The 19743-nt window shown below is 43.5% G+C and overlaps 1 protein-coding gene, 1 long non-coding RNA gene and 1 pseudogene across 4 annotated transcripts in view; all 3 read left to right on the top strand.

Annotated features, from left to right (window-relative positions):
• The first annotated feature begins 1926 nt into the window (after window positions 1-1926).
• LOC105377029 (uncharacterized) lies at window positions 1927-5524 on the top strand. 2 transcript variants are annotated; one of them, XR_940721.2, is made up of 3 exons: window positions 1927-1966; window positions 2342-2450; window positions 5252-5524. It is a non-coding gene; the product is annotated as an uncharacterized LOC105377029 (long non-coding RNA). The 2 variants fall into 2 exon arrangements; XR_001740654.1 differs by having other exon boundaries at window positions 2342-2580.
• Window positions 5625-7866, top strand: HSPD1P6 (heat shock protein family D (Hsp60) member 1 pseudogene 6; annotated as a pseudogene).
• DCLK3 (doublecortin like kinase 3) overlaps window positions 9959-19743 on the top strand; it is a 52133-nt gene continuing 42348 nt past the window's right edge. For both annotated transcript variants that reach the window (XM_047449090.1, NM_001394672.2), the window contains exon 1: window positions 9959-10330. In XM_047449090.1, coding sequence (XP_047305046.1) covers window positions 10249-10330 — 82 coding nt within the window. In that variant the 5' untranslated portion in view covers window positions 9959-10248. The remainder of the gene's footprint in view (window positions 10331-19743) is intronic.

Raw genomic sequence — 19743 nt, 5'->3', positions numbered from 1 at the left:
ACATTTAAAACATTATTTAGAGTTGCAATGTTTATAATACTATTTTCTTTACTACTTTCAGGTTTCTAGAAAAGACTTCATGTGGCTGTGAAAATTTAGTGGAAATAATAATATAATCATCCCTTAAATAAACAGAGCTCTGTTGGAAATTTGAGATGCTCTGTCAAGATGGCAAACTTCCAATTTTTAAAACTTAGGCAAAAAAGATTACTCAAGATTATATTAAAAAGTCATAACATCCAAGTTAGAGACTACAGCATAGTGACTGAGTGTGACTAATCACAATCTGTGGGTTCCACGTCAATGTGACGCCGGAATTATGTCTGGTATGGTGGCTAACAGAATTTAAAAATATAATAAAGATAAAATAAAAACTAAATTGGCTTGAGAAATTGCCTTAAATTTTATGAGCCAGGTAACTTCTCTGATATCATATCAACATTCTATATATCACACATATACTTTAAGGTTATAGTCTAATTAATCAACACTACATCTTTTAGAAAAATAAAATCATAGAATAATCTTTCATAAAGATACTGTTATTCTTAATTTTTTTTTTTTTTGAGACAGAGTCTCGCTCTGTCACCAGGCTGGATTGCAGTGGCACAATCTCGGCTCACTGCAGCCTCTGCCTCCCAGGTTCAAGTGATCCTCCTGCCTCAGCCTCCCGAGTAGCTGGGACTACAGGCACGCACCACCATGCCCATCTAATTTTTGTATTTTTAGTAGAGATGGGGTTTCACCATGTTAGCTAGGATGGTCTCTATCTCTTGAACTCATGATCCGTCCGCCTCAGCCTCCCAAAGTTCTGGGATTACAGGCATGAGCCACCGTGCCCAGCTTATTCTTAATTTTTTAATTAGTTTGTGAGTAAGGATTTCTGGGGTGGGGGTCACATCAATCTTATTTAAAATTTATCTGGCTGGGCATGGTGGCTCATGCCTGTAATCCCAGCACTTTGGGAGGCGGAGGCAGGCAGATTGCTTGAGCCTAGGAATTCCAAGACCGGCCTGTGCAGCGCCGTGATGGAACCCTATATCTACAAAAAATACAAAAATTAGCTATGTGCAGTGGTGTGCACCTGTGCTACAAGCTACTTGGGAGGCTGAAGCGGAAGGATTGCTGGAGCCCAGAAGGTCGAGGTTGCAGTGAGCTACCAGCCTGGGTGACAGAGTAAGACCCTGTCTCAAAAAAAAAAAAAAAAAAAAATTGATCTTACTCTGGTGTCAGTCTCCATTATTTTTAATGATCTTTATGTCCTTGGTGCCTGGCATAGCATCTAGAACATAGAAGATGCTCCTGAAGCCCTCAATAATTATTTATTTGATGAATAAATGAATAACTGATCAGGCAGCAAGGTGTGGTAGAAGAAGCGTGGGCATTCCAGCAAATAAGGAGCACTGTATTCCAATAAAACTTTATTTCTCAAAATTGTCAGTGAGCCAGATTTGGCTGCAAGGGTCATACAGTTTGCAGACCCCTGCCCTAGAGCAGCAAGTCCTAAAGCTAAATTCAAGAACCAGGAAAGCTCTGTTCACTTTCTCTCTGTTGTTGAGAACACCACCCATATCTGAGGTGACTTCCTATCCTTTGACATTAAGATGAACAGAAAGAATTTGTCCAAGGCCAACTGAATCATAGATAAATTTATTTTGAATTTTTATATAAGAGAATTTGAGCCCCTAAGATAAACATTTCTTCATAGCACTTTCAGTTTCAGTGTGTCCCATATATAGTCATGAACCATACATATATATTTTGAAAATGGGCATGTACATATGCATGACTCTTAACTTTGTATGCACACATGCCTTATTCTTATTGTTTACTTATTATCTCTTCTTTGTTTTGTGTTTTGTTTTAGAGACAGCCTCTGTTGCCCAGGCGGGATCACAGCTCACTGTAGCCTCAAACTCCTCAAGTGATCCTCCTGCCTTGGCCTCTCAAAGCACTAGGATTTCAGGTGACAGCCACCATACCTGGCCCTCTTCTTTTTTTTTTTTTTTTTTGAAGGCAGGCTTGGTAATTCAATGGAGATCACATATATTGTTATACTATGGTCTAGCTTTTTCATATTTAAGTCCAGTTCAGTTTTCTAACTGTATGTCTAAGTATAGGAAGTGTTTTGAGAAATGCTTATGCAGTTTTTAAAGTGTTATAATATCCTATGATACTTGAAATCTTGCCTTGAATCTATTACTGTACTTAAGGACTTGAGAATATTTCAGACTTTCCTCTTATTACTATTCTGCATTTGAAAATTGATCAGTAGTTTTGCAAAGGATTTTGTTTTTATTGCTATAATACAGAAACAATTATCTGCCTCTTGCTTTTACAGCATGGAGTGCCATATTTGTGGGCATCAGGAGGGTCCAGATGGCAACTTTACCAGACACTGGAGATAAACTGATTTGTTTAAAAGCAGGAGCTTGCATCCAGGAAAAGTGGTAACATTTTTAGATATATTTCATAAACCACATCTACACACAGGCTGACACACAGTTATCTGAAAAAAAAGTAAGAAGAGAGATTACATGGATCAGTGATATCCACAGGAAATCCCACATTTTATCTCAGGTAGGAGATTTGACTTTTTCCTTTTGAAACCTTTCACTAGAGTAAACTCAAGTCAAACATGAAGAGTCTGCCAAACCAGACTGAGAGATTTTGGCTGACTTCAAGGTAGGTAAGAATCACTGCTGGAGAGAATGTACCACTGTCTGGGTCAGTTGTCAGCATTGGGGAGAGATCAGATTGGCCATGATGTAGACATTTTAAGCACATTGGCCCACCCTATTTTCCCATCCTTCTGCTGGTGGTGGTGGTGGGGCAGGGGGACAGAATAGTTAATGGTGAAGATCATGAGCTTGAATCATGGCTTGGCAGTTTACTTACCTAGAGGAAGTAATGCTTGAGTGAGGGCTGCACAGCGGCAGAGTATGGAGCAGGGTATGGAAGAGATAGTGGCCAAGATCAAGCAAGGAATTTGTACTAGCTGGAGCCCAGAGTATCTGTGGGAAAATGGCAGGAGATGAAGGTTGAGTGGTAGATAGGACTCGAGGTGGAAAAGCCTTGAAGATCCTACTAAGGAGTCTAGCTTTTAACTCTCAGGAGACATAAGGCCACTGGAGGATTTTTAAACAGGGAAATTATATAATTATATAGATCAGTATGGAGAAAGATTTCCTTGACTCTAGTAGGGCTGATAATCTGGAAAAAAGGATGGAGAGGATGCAGCAATGTAAGAGAGGAGATGCTTGGGGTGGTCTAGAGGGATGCAATGGGAGTTTCAACAAGGCAATGGGGGGAGGTAGGAAGGAAGAGTAGAAAACAGAGGATTTGGTGACTGAATGTGGGGTTGACAGTAATTCCTGGATTTGTGGCTTGGGAAACTAAGTTATATAAGACTGAGAATCCAGTAGGAGGGACGGATATGGGGGAAAGATGATGAGTTTTGTTTTGGCTGTATTGTAAAGGGTAGCTATGAGATATCTATGGGAATTTTCTAGTAGGCAACTGAATTGGATTTGGGAGAGATGAGATGAGATCCCTCTGAATTTACAGCTGAGGGATTAGATAAGATCACCCAGGTTGAGTCTAGCAAAGTCAAGAATAAAACTGAGAGGTAACATGTAAGGACAAATGGAGGAAGAACCACAAAGCAGGAAAAATGGTTGCCTTGGGAAAAAGGGGTAGAATCAAAAATGACTGGTGCTATAAAGATCAGGACAGGAGAGAGTTTCAAGACTGGTCACAGCTGCAGTGAGATGAAATAAAATAAGACTGAATTGTGTTTACTGAGTTTGGCAGATGAAAGGTCTTTAGCAATCCAGTTAACGCAGCAATGTGGAGAGATAGGGAAATTTGTCACATTGTAGCTGGTCTGAGGAGCTCAACAGAGGTTAGGGAGTATAGTTGGGGAACATAAAGTAATCTCTCAAGAAGTTTACCTGGGGAGGGAAGGAAAGAGATGGTGACATCTTGGGGTGGGGAGGCACGTAAAGATGTTCTATCAACATGATGACAAGAGTGAAGAAACACATTGCAAATTTGTTAGAATATCAATTTATAGAAAATTAAGAATTTTTCTCTTTTCTTGAATTTCAATCTGGAGTCATCCTGGCTGATGCCATGAGGTAGGGACATTTTTCTTAGAGGCTTCATCATGCCTCTTGTCTAGCTCTCTCCTCCAACCACTCCTACAAACACAATGGTATCCTACCCAGGCTTGAATTCCTGGAAACGTTTTCTTTCTTTCCTCAACAAAGCTTGCTGGGTGTCTTGGATATGCCAGTCAATTTGCCTGCCATATGTAACTTCCCCTCCTGGCTTAAAATGTCCCATGCAGAGCTTCAGAATGACTGTCATTCAATGCTTCTTCCTCTATCTTCTTTCCCACTGAGCCACAATTGTTTGGACCAGGGATGAACACCCATCCCAAAGCAGCCAATCCAGTGCTGGCTAATGATTTAAGTGGCCTGGTTAGAATAAATAGTCTGGGCCAACTATATTCTCTCCTTGGAGAAACTGGATTCTGAAACAGCTATTGTGGGGGACATTTGAGAGTAAGGTCCTGAGGTGGTCACCAATCAGCTCTTGGATGTGTTTGAGATTTTTTCAGATATCTTTAAAATGCCCTGTGCTCCCTGCCACTTAAAATAAGCTGCTTGAGTGAATTTTGCTCACCTGCAACCAAAATAGCCCTGACACCTTGGCTAGACCACAATGGCTATTGTTCCATTCTTTTTAGCTATGCTAAATGAGTTCCTAGTTAAGTGGCTTACTGTAAGCATGATGGTCCTTTTCTTCTTCTATTTTACATTTAAATGTTGATACTGTGTGTGTTCAATGTTTCTCTTAATATGAAACAAAGTGTTTTCTTTTTTGAGTGAATTGATACAAATCATCATTTGACAGGTAATAACAAGGGATGACTCCTACTATAGCAGCTTAATCATATAGGGATTTATTCTCTCTTAAAAAGGAAGTGCAAATTTAATACTTTGGGGTGGTGTGGTGGCTTCATGATGTCAAGGGACTACGGGTTATTCTACGTTTCTGCTCAGTGATCCTTAGGGCTTGGCTTCCACTTTTAAGGCCACCACATGACCTAAGTAGGCTGCTGGGGCTTCAATCATCATCAACCATCATGTTAGCTAACTTTTGCTGCAATAATCCTGAGTAACAAACCAGCCCAAAACTCAGTAGCTTACAATAATGGGCATTTTTTTTTGTCTCCTTCCTACAGGTCTGCTTCAGGCTGCAGGTTGGCCGAACTTAGCTACCTGTTGAAGTTTAGGTCTGCATCATATTTCTCCACATTTATCTCGGACCAGCAGATATTTAGGCTATTGGCAGAAGCATACCCGGGCAAACCAAACCATGGGAGTACTTTCTAACCCCCTGTTCACATTATGTTCAATAACATCCTACTGGCCTAAGTAAGAACGATGGTCACTTAGCCAGGTGTCGTGGTGTGCGCCTGTAGTCCCAGCTACTCAGGAGGCTGAGGCAGGAGAATCACTTGAACCTGGGAGGCAGAGGTTGCAGCAAGCCGAGATTGCGCCATTGGACTTCAGCCCGGGCAACAAGAGCGAAACTAAGTCTTAAAAAAAAAAAGGCCTCACTCACTGCCGACCTGCCTCGCCACGCCCCGGGCATGCCCTGCCACCACCTCACAGAAATGCTTCGGTTCCCCACTGTCTTTAGATAAGACCATTGTCCAGGGTATTGGTTCCTCATCTCACTCGGGCTTATGCCAAAGATGTAAAATTCAGTGCAGATGCCTGAGCCTTAATGCTTCAAGGTGTAGACCTTTTAGTCGATGCTGTAGCCATTACAATGGGGCCAAAGGGAAGAACAGTGATTATTGAGCAGAGCTGGGGAAGTCCCAAAGTAACAAAAGATGGTGTGACTGTTGCAAAGTCAATTGACTTAAAGAATAAATATAAAAATATTGAAGCTAAACTCGTTCAAGATGTTGCCAATAACACAAATGAAGAGGCTGGGGATGGCCCTACCACTGCTACTGTACTGGCATGCTCTATTGCCAAGGAAGGCTTTGAGAAGATTAGCAAAGGTGCTAATCCAGTGGAAATCAGGAGAGGTGTGATGTTAGCTGTTGATGCTGTAATAGCTGAACCTAAAAAGCAGTCTAAACCTGTGACCACCCCTGAAGAAATTGCGCAGGTTGCTACAATTTCTGCAAGTGGAGACAAAGAAATTGGCCATATCCTCTCTGATGCAGTGAAAAAGGTGGGAAGAAAGGGTGTCATAACAGTAAAGGATGGGAAAACACTGAATGATGGATTAGAAATTATTGAAAGCTTGAAGTTTGATCGAGGCTATGTTTCTCCATACTTTATTAATACATCAAAAGGTCAGAAATGTGAATTCCAGGAGGCATATGTTCTGTTGAGTGAAAAGAAAATTTCTAGTGTCCAGTCCATTGTACCTGCTCTTGAAACTGCCAGTGCTCACCGTAAGCCTTTGGTCATAATCACTGAAGATGTTGGTGGAGAAGCTCTAAGTACACTTGTCTTGAACAGCCTAAAGATTGATTTTCAGGTTGTGGCAGTCAAGGCTCCAGGGTTTTGTGACAAAGAACCAGCTCAAAGATATGGCTGTTACTACTGTTGGTGCAGTGTTTGGAGAAGAGGGGTTGATCCTACATTTTGAAGATGTTCAGCCTCATGACTTAGGAAAAGTTGGAGAGGTCATTGTGACCAAAGATGATGCCATGCTCTTAAAAGGAAAAGGTGGCAATGCTCAAATTGAAAAACATATTCAAGAAATCATTGAGCAGTTAGATGTCACAACTAGTGAATATGAAAAGGAAAAACTGAATGACTGGCAAAACTTTCAGATGGGATAGCTATGCCAAAGGTTGGTGGGACAAGTGATGTTGAAGCGAATGAAAAGAAAGACAGAGTTACAGATGCCCTTAATGCTACCAGAGCTGCTGTTGAAGAAGGCATTGTTTTGGGAGGGGGTTGTGCCCTGCTTTGGTGCATTCCAGCCTTGGACTCATTGACTCCAGCTAATGAAGATAAACTAATTGGTATATAAACAATCAAAACAACACTCAAAATTCCAGCAATGACCATTGCTAAGAATGCAGGTGTTGAAGGATCTTCGATAGTTGAGAAAATTATGCAACGTTCCTCAGAAGTTGGTTATGATGCTACTAGGGTCGGAGATTTTGTGAATATGGTGGGAAAAGGAATTATTGACCCAAGAAAGGTTGTGAGAACTGCTTTATTGGATGCTGCTGGTGTGGCCTCTCTGTTAACTACAGCAGAAGTTGTAGTCACAGAAATTCCTAAAGAAGAGAAGGACCCTGGAATGGGTGCAATGGGTGGAATGGGATGTGGTATGGGAGGGGGCATGTTGTAACTCCTAGAATAGTGCTTTACTTTTATTAATGAACTGTGACAGGAAGTCAAGGCAGTGTTCCTCACCAATAACTTCAGAGAAGTCAGTTGGAGAAAATGAAGAAAAGGCTGGCTGATGTTTAAGAAATCATTATAACCATCAGTTACTGGTTCAGTTGACAAAATATATAATGGTTTACTGCTGTCATTGTCCATGCCTATCAATACTTTATTTTGTATTTTTGAATAAAAAGACATTTGTACATTCCTGATATTGGGTACAAGAGTCATGTACCAATGTACTGCCTTCAACTTAAATAACTGAGGCATTTTTACTACTATTCTGTTAAAATCAGGATTTTAGTGCTTGCCACCACCAGATGAGAAGTTAAGCAGACTTTCTGTGGAGGGTGAGAATAATTATGTACAAAGTAGAGAAATATCCAATTATGTGACAACCTTTGTGTAATAAAAAATTGTTTAAAGTTAAAAACAAAACAAAACAAAAAAGAAAAGAAAGAAAAAGAAAGATGGCCAAGCCTAAAGTCAAGGTACAGGGAAACACACTCCAAGTACCATAAAGGGTGGATTGTCCAATTCAATTGAGGAATGGAGTGAATAACTGAAATTAATAATCTCACCTACCACATCATTATACCTGGATTCCAGGACGAAGGAAAAGGGACAAAGGAGTGCATCTGTCAGCCAAATCAGCATCTTTAAGGCATCTACTGAAAATCCAATACAACACTTACAATTATATTTCATTGGCCAGAAACTTTTCATATCATCACTCCTTGCTGCAAGGGAGGCTAGAAAATGTATTTTTTTTAAATTGCAGGTGGTAGTATGCTTAGCTAAAAAACATTTTTTTTAAAATACCGGATCAGAAATGAAAATAGGTGTTGAGTAGGCAATTAGCAATTTCTTTGCCAATATTCAACAAGATATATCCCTCACTCTTGTGAAGTAATCTGATAACTTAAGGTGTTCATTGTGATTGCTTGATATGTGTATATCTAGTTCGTATTTAAATCATGATAATCCAGCCAATAATTAAACACTGTGAGATTGCTGCTTTTGCAAGGAAGAAAACACAAGTCATCTGATCTCTCCTTTACAAAGCTTAAACCTTTTTACTAAAACTCAGTTTATTTAACTTTTATTTTCTCCTAAAATATAGGTGATAGGGCCAGGAAGAGTGGCTGTTAAAGAGAAAAGTAAGTGATTTTAAAAAGAAAGTGTGTAAGTATCTCAAGGACACTTGTCTCCCAGAGAGATTTCCAATAGGTTCTTCCTTCGGGTTTTTACTCAAATGTTACCTTTCCCAACCACTCAACTTACATAATCACATTCCCTTTTTCTTGGTTCATTTTTCTTCATACTATTTATCACCATACTTGTGTATTTTATTATCTGTCTCCCCCTACTAGAAGGTGAGTGACTTGAAGGCAGGGCATTTGTTGTGTTCACCATTGGTGAACTGGATTGCTGAAAACTGTCCTTGATGATGACTTCAGAGTACCTGGCCAACAAACCAGCTAGAACCAGGAGTTATTTTTTGCACAGCAGCATCATGGCATGGCTGTTGCAGCCATTTTGGAACCTTGAGGCAACAAGTCTGAGGAGAAAAGGCAAGATGTTGAAGGTGGCCATGTGGAATCATGGAAAGAGACTGAGTCCTTAACGTCATCCCTGAGCAGCTGAACACACACAGAGGAGCCTTCTTCCAGGCTTCTTGTTATGTGTGATAAAGAGAAAGACAGCCCCTGCCATCTGGGAGCTGGTCTGGTTCTATCAGCTCGGCCTTGGCGTTCTGTTGAGCATAAACAATTTCACAGAACAGCAACATCAGACCCAACAGACAAGACCACTTTGTGACTTGATTGATAAAGGCAAAAGCCAGACCACTCTGTAATCATGTCAACGGCCCTGTGGAGAGAAGGGTATGGCTGATCCAGTGAATTTATTATCTGACGCAGGAGAGATCTGGGAGTCAGTACCCGGGAATATGGGTCCCCAGACCCCGCACTGCAGACCTGAGGGACCTGCAAATATGAGGAACAGGTGTGTGGTGCTGGGAAGAGGTACAACAAAGCAAGGGGCCATCGAGCTGCCTTCAGATGGTACCAAGAAGCCACTAGGCTGGAGGAACGTTTTGCAGCCTAAGTCTTTGAGACCATGGGTGTGGACCAGAGTGTAAGCAGGTCTCTGAATCTGGGGGGCAACAAGGGTGTTAGAGTAGAACGGCCCTGGGACCTACGGTCAGTGTATCCAAGGAGCGGGAATGGGATAGGAGGAAGGAAGTGGTGTGGAAAGTCTGGCCCCTGCCCTGCAGGGAGGCACGAGGATGGCTGGTGGTCCTGGGGTCGCCTTTGGGCTGCCACCCACCCACAGAGAACAGGGGCAAAGCGCACGTTCAAAACCCAGCGCAGCCAGGTTCCACCGCGGAACTGCGCGGGGAAGGAGAGCAGAAAGGCTGGACTCCGCTGACCGGGGAGAGGCGGGACCGCCTTTGGGCGCTCACTGGAGAAGCAGGGGGTGTGGGAGCAAGTTCAAAGCCCGGCCCCGCCCGGCCTCCAGGGCCAGGAGCGGCGCGCATGGCGGGACCGGCGCAGAGAGGGCGGCTGCAGCTGGTGCGCGGTTGCTAAGTCCCGCGCCCCCGGAGACGTTCCCGGTGGCTGTCGCCGGGCGCTGCGCGGCGCGGGGCTGGCAGGCGGGCGGCGGGCGGCGGGAGGGAGAGAAGAGGGAGAGTCGGCGCGGGCTCGTGGCTGCTCGTCTCGCCCCGCCTTCCCGCGCCTGCTCGACCGTCGAGCCGCGTCCCCGCGCTGCCACCTCTGCTCCAGGCTCTCCCCGAGCCCGCCGCCGCGCCATGCCCGCCGCCACTCCAGCCCCGCAGCCGCCGCCGCCCCCGGCCCGGCCAGCCCCAGCCTGCCCGGCGCGGCCTGCCCCGGGTGAGTACCGTGCGCTCCGGCACCGACCCGTTCTGGGCGCCACCTTGGCGGGGGCGGGAGGACTCATTCGCCCTAACTCTGGACCCCGCTCCGTGCGGGATGTAGCAGCAGTGCCAGACCCCGCGTGGGTGTACGGAGGACTGTGTGTGTGTATGTGTGTGTACGTGTGTATGTGTGTGTACGTGTGTGTAAACGCGCGCGCGTGCGGGTGTACACCACCTGAAACCTGCTTTCTAGGGGAATAACGCTCTCCGGAGCTGATTTTATTTCCCTCGCCAGCAGGGGGGCCCTTCCTGGGAAACGCACTGGGTGTCTTTCAAGGTGCAGGTGCGGTGAGGCTGCAGAAGGGAGAAGGCGCAGGGAGGGAGCTGACATTTATTGTGCAACTCAACATGCCAAGCGCTTCACCTAGAGTTAAGCGTATTTCATCCTCTCCACAAATCTGTAAAGAATGGAATTATCCCCATTTCTCAGATGAGAAAACTGAGGCCCACAGAGCTCGTGCCTTGCCCAGGGTCACACGGCTCCATAGCAGCGGAGCTGGAGTTGGATCCAGGTCTCTAGAGGTCTCTGACCCATCTAAATGACAAGAAACCCTCCTTAGAACTAAAGAAACACAGAAGAACCAAAGATGATTAGGAAAAAGGATACAGGCAGAGCATTTGGGAATTAATATAAAAAAATCTGAGCTCGTGAAATATCCTATCAATTAATTTCAAATATAGGATCACATTTACACTCCTTTCCATGTCTGGCCCTGGGGGCGAGGTGTGGTGAGGAAGGGAGAAGGCTGTGCCAGTCCTTGGCAGAGGCGTCTGGGGACACCTTTTCAGAGTATCTGCCTGCTGGGAGGGGGGAAGTGTGTGAGAAGTTGTGGAGGGAACTCCGTTGTTATTCAATCCTAACAGTTAGTCATTCCTCCACCTCACCCCCTCCTAGTTGATTCCATTTCCTTTCCTTGATGTATTGTCCAAGATGACAGCTGTTAAATTGAAGCAGGGTCCCACCTTCATCATTGGCTGTCATAAAACCTCTTGGCATTAATTAGGTGGCCCTGCACTTTGATGATTGTATTAGGAGCTGTGAAGTGTCTGTGTAACTGCTTACAGTGGAGATCTGTTGGGCTGATGTTGAGCTAATGATCTTGATCAATGAGGCATCTACAGCAATAGGCAAGCATTGTGCTTATCCTTAGGATAAAGTAGCAAGAAGCAAGACCCTCAGGAAGAAAAAAAAAAAGAAAAGAGTATTGGGTTTGCCTCACAGCCCAACTTTAGAAAAGCATTTCAATTTAATATTTAAATTGCTTCACTGAAGAAAGAACAAAGAGGGGCAGAAAGTGTTTTCTGAAAGATGTTCTGTAACTCCTTTCATTTAGGTTTGAAAGATTTTTGAGTCATGTTCTTTTATGGTGAGCTTTGCCATCTTGGTGCGTATTGGTACCCTGGGTGCCTTCACTTCCAATTGCCAGTCCCTCCATCTCTTTGTTGGAGGATGACCCTTGGGCGGCAGAGCCTATGTTTGTAGGGACTCAGAACAGGGAGTGCCTGGGAATTTACATCTCCCCTGGGGCAGCCCCTCCTCAATGACTGATGGGTGCTGGAGTATAAATAGTCCAGCTTCTTTGCCCTTGATTGGGACACTCTGAAGCATGACATCCTTTGTTTCCAGAGATCCAATGTGGAGTTGTGTCAAATTGACCTCTATGGTTCTTTGCTTGGCTTGTTTCCCTCGCTTGGCTTGCTACTTTTTCTTGTTTTACTTCTTCACATCCCTACCATTTTTTCCTAGGAATATCTCCTAATACACTTTCATAGGAATTCTTATCTCAGGATCTGATTCTAAGGAATCCAGATAAAAACATGGACCCTTCTCACTGTCAATGTTTTTATTCTTCCTATGTTATCCAAACATGACTAACATCGGTAATAGGTAGCCCATGCTAACCTGTAGGGTGCCTTTGTATGAATTCACAAAAGGTGTTCCCTTCTGGGCAGATGGATCCCCATGCCCAGGCAACGGATTGGCAGACAGGTGTTCAGTGTCCACTAGCCCCCTGATCAGTGCTTCTTTGGCAGTGCACACAGTACTCAATGATCATGGTGGCGTGGTGCTCAGAAAAGCAAAAAACAGAGTTGCTTAGTTGTCCCAGGATCTCATTTCTGGCTTCTCTTTTTTCCCAAGAAAAAATCCCCCAAAGAGGGATTTTCCCCTTTTTTCCCCTAAATATTTGAATATTTCAGGCAGATGTTTTGGTTTTCTTTGGACAAGCCAGTCTTAGTTTCTTTCTAAAGCCAACAAAGGGGAGGAAAAGGGCTGCTTTGGCTGGTGGAATCTCAATCCTGCAGCCTGCAGGCGGGTGGTGGTGCCTGGTCAGGGAGGGTGGGTAGGTCTCCACCAGCCTCCAGAAGTTCTCAGAGGGGTCTTGTCTTGACGGTGAGGTTACTGGGTAGGGGCTTGGATGGGCTGCTTTAGTTGGAGGCTCTTGCTTGAAGACGTTTTCCTTTCCTTGGATCCAGGAGGGTCATTGTATCTGATCTGGCATCCTGAGTTTCCTCACCTTTTCCTTTGGTGGCCTCTTGATAATGTCTAAATTTTGCCCGTCTGCTGGTGGAGCAGAGCCCCTTTTGAAGATGCATACGTGGGGGAGTTCTTTGAAAAGAATGTTTTTGTTAACTGCTTGGTAATGTAGGTCAGAAGAGAGAAATCTAGGGAAAGTGAAAGAGTGGGAAGAAGACATCTGTACTGGGAATTGGGGAGGGGAGTTTGGCTCCATCCTCAGAGTTCTGAAGCCTCCTGGTGACCTGGGGCAAGTCACTGAACTTCTCTAGGAACCTCAGTATCTTCACCATTCATTTAATAGCAATTGTTCAGCCAGCCTCAGAGTGTTCTTTGATGGTCAAAGGGGAAATATTTTCATGGACTCATCCAGTGATTATAGGGGAAGCCCATAAAATCTTTATACAGAGACAACTGGCAATCTCTTGGGGACAGTGGTGTATGTAGAGGCATCATGATGTGGATAGCAAGTGGTAGAATAGAGATAATCACCAGATCAGTGGCTGCATGAAGGGACAGGGAAGTCTCCAGAGCTGCTTGGGCTGGTTTTGAAGGCTAAATGTTGACAGAATTTGCAAAGGGCAGGGTGTCATGTAGTGTGTAGTTATGGAGGTGAGTCCATCAGAATTGCTTTCACATTTGGGCTCTGGCCCCTCAAACCCATGTGATCCTGAGCGAGATACCCAACTACTCTGAGCCTCGGTTTCCTTATTGGTAAAATGGGCATATTCAAATTGCTCTGAGGATTTAGTGATGTAAAGCAATTACCAGATATTATTACAAATGAAAAGTATTGTTATTAAAGTTACCTTTTAGCTGAATGGATTCTGTTTGGCTGCCTGGGGCCAGTACTTTTTGAATATTGCTGGACATATGAATCATCTGGGGATCTTATTAAAATATAGATTCTGATTCAGGAGGTCTAGGGTGGGGCCTAAGATTCTGCTTTTCTCCCTAGCTCCTAAGTTCTGTAGATGTTGTTTCTTTCTTTTTTTAATTATACTTTAAGTTTTAGGGTACATGTGCACAACATGCAGGTTAGTTACATATGTATACATGTGCCATGTTGGTGTGCTGCACCCATTAACTCGTTATTTAACATTAGGTATATCTCCTAATGCTATCCCTCCCCCCTCCCCCAACCCCACAACAGGTCCCGGTGTGTGATGTTCCCCTTCCTGTGTCCATGTATTCTCATTGTTCAATTCCCACCTATGAGTGAGAAAATGCGGTGTTTGGTTTTTTGTCCTTGCGATAGTTTGCTGAGAATGAAAATGTGGCACATATACACCATGGAATACTATGTAGATGTTGTTTCTTTAGGGACCACATTTTGAGTACAAGGCCCTAGGCTACTCCCTCTTGGGTAAAGCCTGAGTCCTTTGTGGGACCTGAAGAGCACTGTGTTTGGAGAGATGATGGGGAGGGTTCAGGCCTCCTAGGCAGGTCTGGCCTGGAGCTGGGGTAGAGAGAGCTAGGAATTGCTGCTGTTGAGTAGGATGTTCCTACTGGGTAGATAATGGATCAAACCCAGCTTCCTTCAAATGCCCTAGGACCAGCCTCCTGGAGGAAATTCTTCCTGGCCAAATGGCCAAATACTGCCTGCTCTTGCATGCTGGCCCTGAGGATGTAGAGATGAATAAGCCATTGGCCCATCACTGCCCCTGCCACAGTGTGATTGCGGGGAGTGGGTGAGGAGGTGTGAGACATAGAAATGTACGATTATGATATGGTGAGATGAGCACTCTGTGGCGTTAGGGTAATGGAGAGGCAGGTAAGAGAGTTAAGAAAGGGAGGAACCCTTCCTGGTGGTAATTAAATCTGAACTGGGTTTTGATGGATAAATCACTGTGTCTGGGATTGGAGGAGGGCAGAAGAGTGTGTGGAATAGTATTCTAAGACTGAGGAACAGCATGTGCAAAAGTAGGCTGCCATGATGAAACAGCTTGGTGTGTTCAGGTCACTGAACTAAGAGTTGTTTGGAGCATGGAGTGTGATGGGGAGGACTTGATCAGGGAGCAGAGCTCAGTTCATGAAGTGTATTAGTCAGGAGGGTTTTCTAAGCTTTGCTGCAGTAACAAATCAACTTCATCATCTTGGTAGTTTAACTCAACGAAGGTTACTTCTCACACACAATGTGTGTCCCTCACAGGTCAATTGATAGCCAAGTAGACAGAGCTTCTCCCAGTTTTCAGCCTTGCCATCTGGAAAATGTGGCCACTGTAGTCACCAGTGCAGGAAGAGATAGAGGGAGAGTGTCTCTCTGGCTCGTCTGGAATGAATGCAATGTTGCTTTTGTCCACAGCCCATTGGTCAGAACTAATTGTGGGCGCAGGGGGCTGGGAAATAGGGGATGGCGGCTGGGATGGAAGAAAAAGTCAGAGAATATCAACTCTCCCACATATGTCTTGTTATGAAGCTTAAGCCTCATTCTGAGGCCACAGTTTCTCAAATAAGAGTAATATGGGAATTCCTTTAAAGGAAAAAAATTCTTGTAGATTCCTAGTGTTGCTTAAATTATTTTTATTATAGTGCAGTTCAGATATGTAGTAGTTTTACATGGGTCTAAACTCTTTATACTTAGAGCTTTCATATGACCACATAACCAAAACAAATATATAAATAAAATATCAACACAGCTACAAGTCAAATACATTTGGATTAACCTCATGAATTTAATGTTCTGGATGAAGTTATTTTTGCTAAAATGAAATCCCTATTTCTGGTTATAACAGCTGTTGTTCAGGTTCTTATGAATTTGGTGTGCAGTGTGCCATGCCACAAGGTTTTATGATGGCTCAATTTTCTCATCAGTTTCCTTTCTATACACTAAACCTGATTTGTTATTTTCTCATTGGCCTGTGATAATTAAAATAATGTTTCTTGATGCCAACTGTCTCAGTCTGTTTGTGCTGCCATAGGAAAACACCTGAGCCTGGGTAATTTGTAAAGAACAGAGATTCTTTCCCAACAGTTCTGGAGACTGGCAGGCCATGATTAGGGCACCTGCAAGCTTAATGTGTGGTGAAGGCTTATTCTCTGCTTGTTGCTACACACTCCAAAGGGGATGGACCTTGTGTCTTCACACAGTGGAAGGAACAGGAACCAACAAAGGGCCTAAGCTATTTCTTTTCAGCCCTTTTGTCAGTCACTCATCCATTCTTTAAGGTAGAGCCCTCGTGACTTAATCACTTCCCCAAAGCCCCCACCCTTCAATATCACCACAATGGGGACTAAGTTTTAACATATGAATTTTCCGGGATATTCAGACCATAGCATCAACTACAGTATAAATGCAAGAGTATATATGGTGAAATTATGTGGTAGCACTTAGTCATAACATGGCCATTCAGATGATCCAGAATATGTTTCTATTGATTCTTAAAAAAAGGTGATCATGAAAGTGAAAACAGAAAGTTAAACAAAACACAATTTTGAGAACTCATGGACCCTCCTAAGATAGGTTTGAGGATCTCCTGGAATTTGAGAAACAGCTGGAAAACTACTGGAGTGTTTAATGAAGGGGACATAGATGACCAGCTTTATGGTTCAGAGACATCACTTTTCCCAGGGTGTATGGGGTGGCTGAGGGGGAGAGAGGAAGGCTGAGACAGCAGAATCTGGGGAGGCTTGCAGGTAGCTGAGCTAAGATGTGATGAGGGCAGGTGCTCAGATGTAGTTAAGGTAATGGGAGAGAGGAAGCATGGATTTGAGAGACACGCAGGAGCTGGAATCCACAGGACTTTGAGGTTGACTGCGATGTGGGAGGGGATGGAAGGGAAGAGGAGTCAGGGATGACTCTTGGTCTTGGAGGTCGAGGGTGGTTGGTGGTACCACCGACCAGGATGAGGACCGCAGGTGTCAGATGTCCATGGCAAGAACAGAAGAGCTCAAGACCAGAACTGTGTTCTGCCGTATTCACCATCCCATCTTTTCTCACTGATGTGACTTTTCCTGAACCAGTTTCTGAGAAACTGCTACATCTTGCAGTGTCTATTTTTCTTCTATGGGACATTAATTAGTGCTCATTAAGATGATTTGAATGGCTTTATTAGCTTTTCTATTGTGCTTGCTGCTTCTGTCCTGTAGGAGCAGATTCTGGCAATATTACCTGATTAAGCACATACTTTTTTTTTGTTTTCTGTATGTTCAAAGGAGGTGAAAAAAATTGAGAAAATTGTGGATGGTTCTGAGCTAGAAGCTGTCATGCCATATAATGTGAGATTAGTTTTCTGCCTTCAGTTTTTATTTTAAGAGCACAAACGATCAACTTTCCACTCTGTGTTTTTGGATGGAGATACTGAAAATTCTTTGAGGAATGAGTAGAGGTTAAATGATCTCTAGGTAATTACATAAGAAGTAAAATGGAAACACTGCACTTTGGGGAAGTGGAGGGCAGAGAACACAAAGCCACACAAACAGACAAAAATTTCACAAACCGAAAATAAACCCCTGTGGTTTCTAGAGTAAAATCTCATGTTAATTAAAATTTTGGCATTACATATTTTAAAATGTAACTTGGTATTTACTTTTTGTATAAATAATTAACCTAATGCACCAACTGATGGAGGGAAGCAACATGAGCAGATTGCCAGAAGTGGCTTTTACTTTCCTGTTCCCACTTGAGAAACTTATGCTCTCTCCTGGTCTCAGGCATTGTTTTCATAGCAGAGCCTCTGAGGCCCTCCAGGGAGATGTGTAGCCTCCCCTGGAGGGCCTCTGAGTCTATCTGGAACTTGTGATAAAGGTTCTGTGAGCGAAGGCATACCTGTCACCCCCAGACACCACATGCCACTTGAGGATGGCACCATGTTTTTTCATCCCAGAATCCCCCCAGACTAGCAGGGCATTTCCCCTAACAGCAGTTTCCATACCCACAAGCTAGTCCAAGGCACCCTACAGGAAGTATCTTTGGGTCTCAGGGTTGGTTGGAGCAGCAGATTTCCTAGCAATAACAGCCATAACTTTTTGGGAATGTCTCTTCCAGGAATGGGTTAGACAAGGCTGGTTATTCATTTTAGTTCAGATGTTGTTTCGGTTTCAGAGGGCTACAACCAAAGTCCCCTGGAGCTTGGGTCTCTCCATTTGTGCCAGAGGCAGTGGTTCTTGCCAGATAACCCATGTGCTCCCCTTCTTTAGCAGATGCTATCAGTCCCTGTCCATGGTCCCTGAGCACACATCTTTCCTGTTCTGGTGGTTCCCACTGCAAGCCACTGCAACACTGTTGGATGACTTTCTTTGGTTGCAGGGGCATGGTTGGCCCCCATCTGGTGCACACACCCAGAAGTGCTGGGCAGCTAATGTCCTGGGAGCAGCCCTCAACCACCAATGGAAGGGAATGGATGGGTGAATATCACAGTTTCCTTGCCCCTCTGGAAGGATAACTCTGAGGCATGTTCTACTCAATCTCTCCAGAGGTTCCCAGCAGAACTGAGCCCAGGTTGGCCATAGCAGTAACCTACTCTTTCATGCCACTGTCCTACTTCACTTTTCCACTCTCCTCTAGTGCTGTCTGAGATCACCTCCCAAATCAACCCATATCCTTGCCCTAGGCTGTGCTTTTGAGAGAGACCAACCCAGGAATCTTTTGGGGTGGTTGGGGTTATGTGACCAGCTCTGGCCACTGGACTGTAGGTGGAAGTGCCATGTGTCACTTCTCATTCCAGGCAGTTGAAAGCCAGGATACCACTATTGTCTTTCTCGTCTGCTGCTGGGGCCACCTTGGAGGCCATGTGCTTTGAATGGAGGATCAGAGATGGAGAAAGCTGCTAGGTTTACACTGGGATTCATACAAGCAAGAGTCTTTTATTGTGGTAGCCCTAGAGCTTTTTGATATTTATCAGTTGGGGCACCTATCTATCTGATAAACAGTGTCACACTGTCGTTTTTTGGGTGCCACCACTGATGTCAGCCCATCCTCCACTTCTCCATCCTACACTGGTCCATAAGAACTCTTGGGATCTGCTACCCATGACCTCCTTTAATGCTTCTCATTTCCAAACTCCCCTCCTCTTCAGTAGTTTGATTAATATTAAAGTAAAATTTATGTTTCTCTATGGTTTTTAATTCATCTGGAAGTTATTTTGTTATTATTTGTAAAATAAGAATCTAAATTCATTTTATTTCCAAATTATTAACCAGTTGTTCCAATATTGAATAAGAATCATTCTAACCTTCCTGGCTAGTTTGTAATCACCTTTCATTATACGTTAAATTCTCATATAAAGTAGTATCTATTTTGGAACTATAGTTTTTTTTCTTAAATTCTTGTGCAAGTACCAAGACATTGTAATTGTAGCTCTGTAATATATTTTACTATCTTCATTACTCACTACTCATCTCCTTCCTGTCCTCCCTCAAAAATTGTATTAGTGTTTCAGTTGCACAAAACCTACAAATTACAAATGGGAAGAACTGATATGTCTATTAGGCTTTTACATTCTGGAATGGACAGTCATTTAAACGGCTTTTCTAATTCCTCTCACAGTTTTGTAGTTTTCCTTATGTTGCTCATACACATTTTTTGTTAGTTATTCCTAGCAATTTTCTATATGTTGACATATAAATGTATAAATTTTTTCATGTGTTTTTCAATTTATTGCAGTTATGTCAAAAGCTTGTATGTACATATAAGCTTCACTATACATATAGAAAATTCATAGATAGTTAATATATGTAATTAATGATTTTTTTTGCCTTATAGCTGACTACTTTCTAATTATATTTGGAAGTAAAAACATATAAAAACTATTTCATGAGAGTCCATGTACTCTAATTGCCTTTCCAGGTGGCTCAGAACAAACACATAGGTATGTCCTAGAATTGAAATAAGTTCATGGAGACAGGGAAAGATG

Source organism: Homo sapiens, chromosome 3, assembly GCF_000001405.40.
Source record: "Homo sapiens chromosome 3, GRCh38.p14 Primary Assembly".
In the NCBI taxonomy this organism is placed as follows: domain Eukaryota; kingdom Metazoa; phylum Chordata; class Mammalia; order Primates; family Hominidae; genus Homo; species Homo sapiens.
The sequence above is the reverse complement of the archived record's forward strand: the minus strand, read 5'-3'. Positions and strand labels throughout refer to the sequence as shown.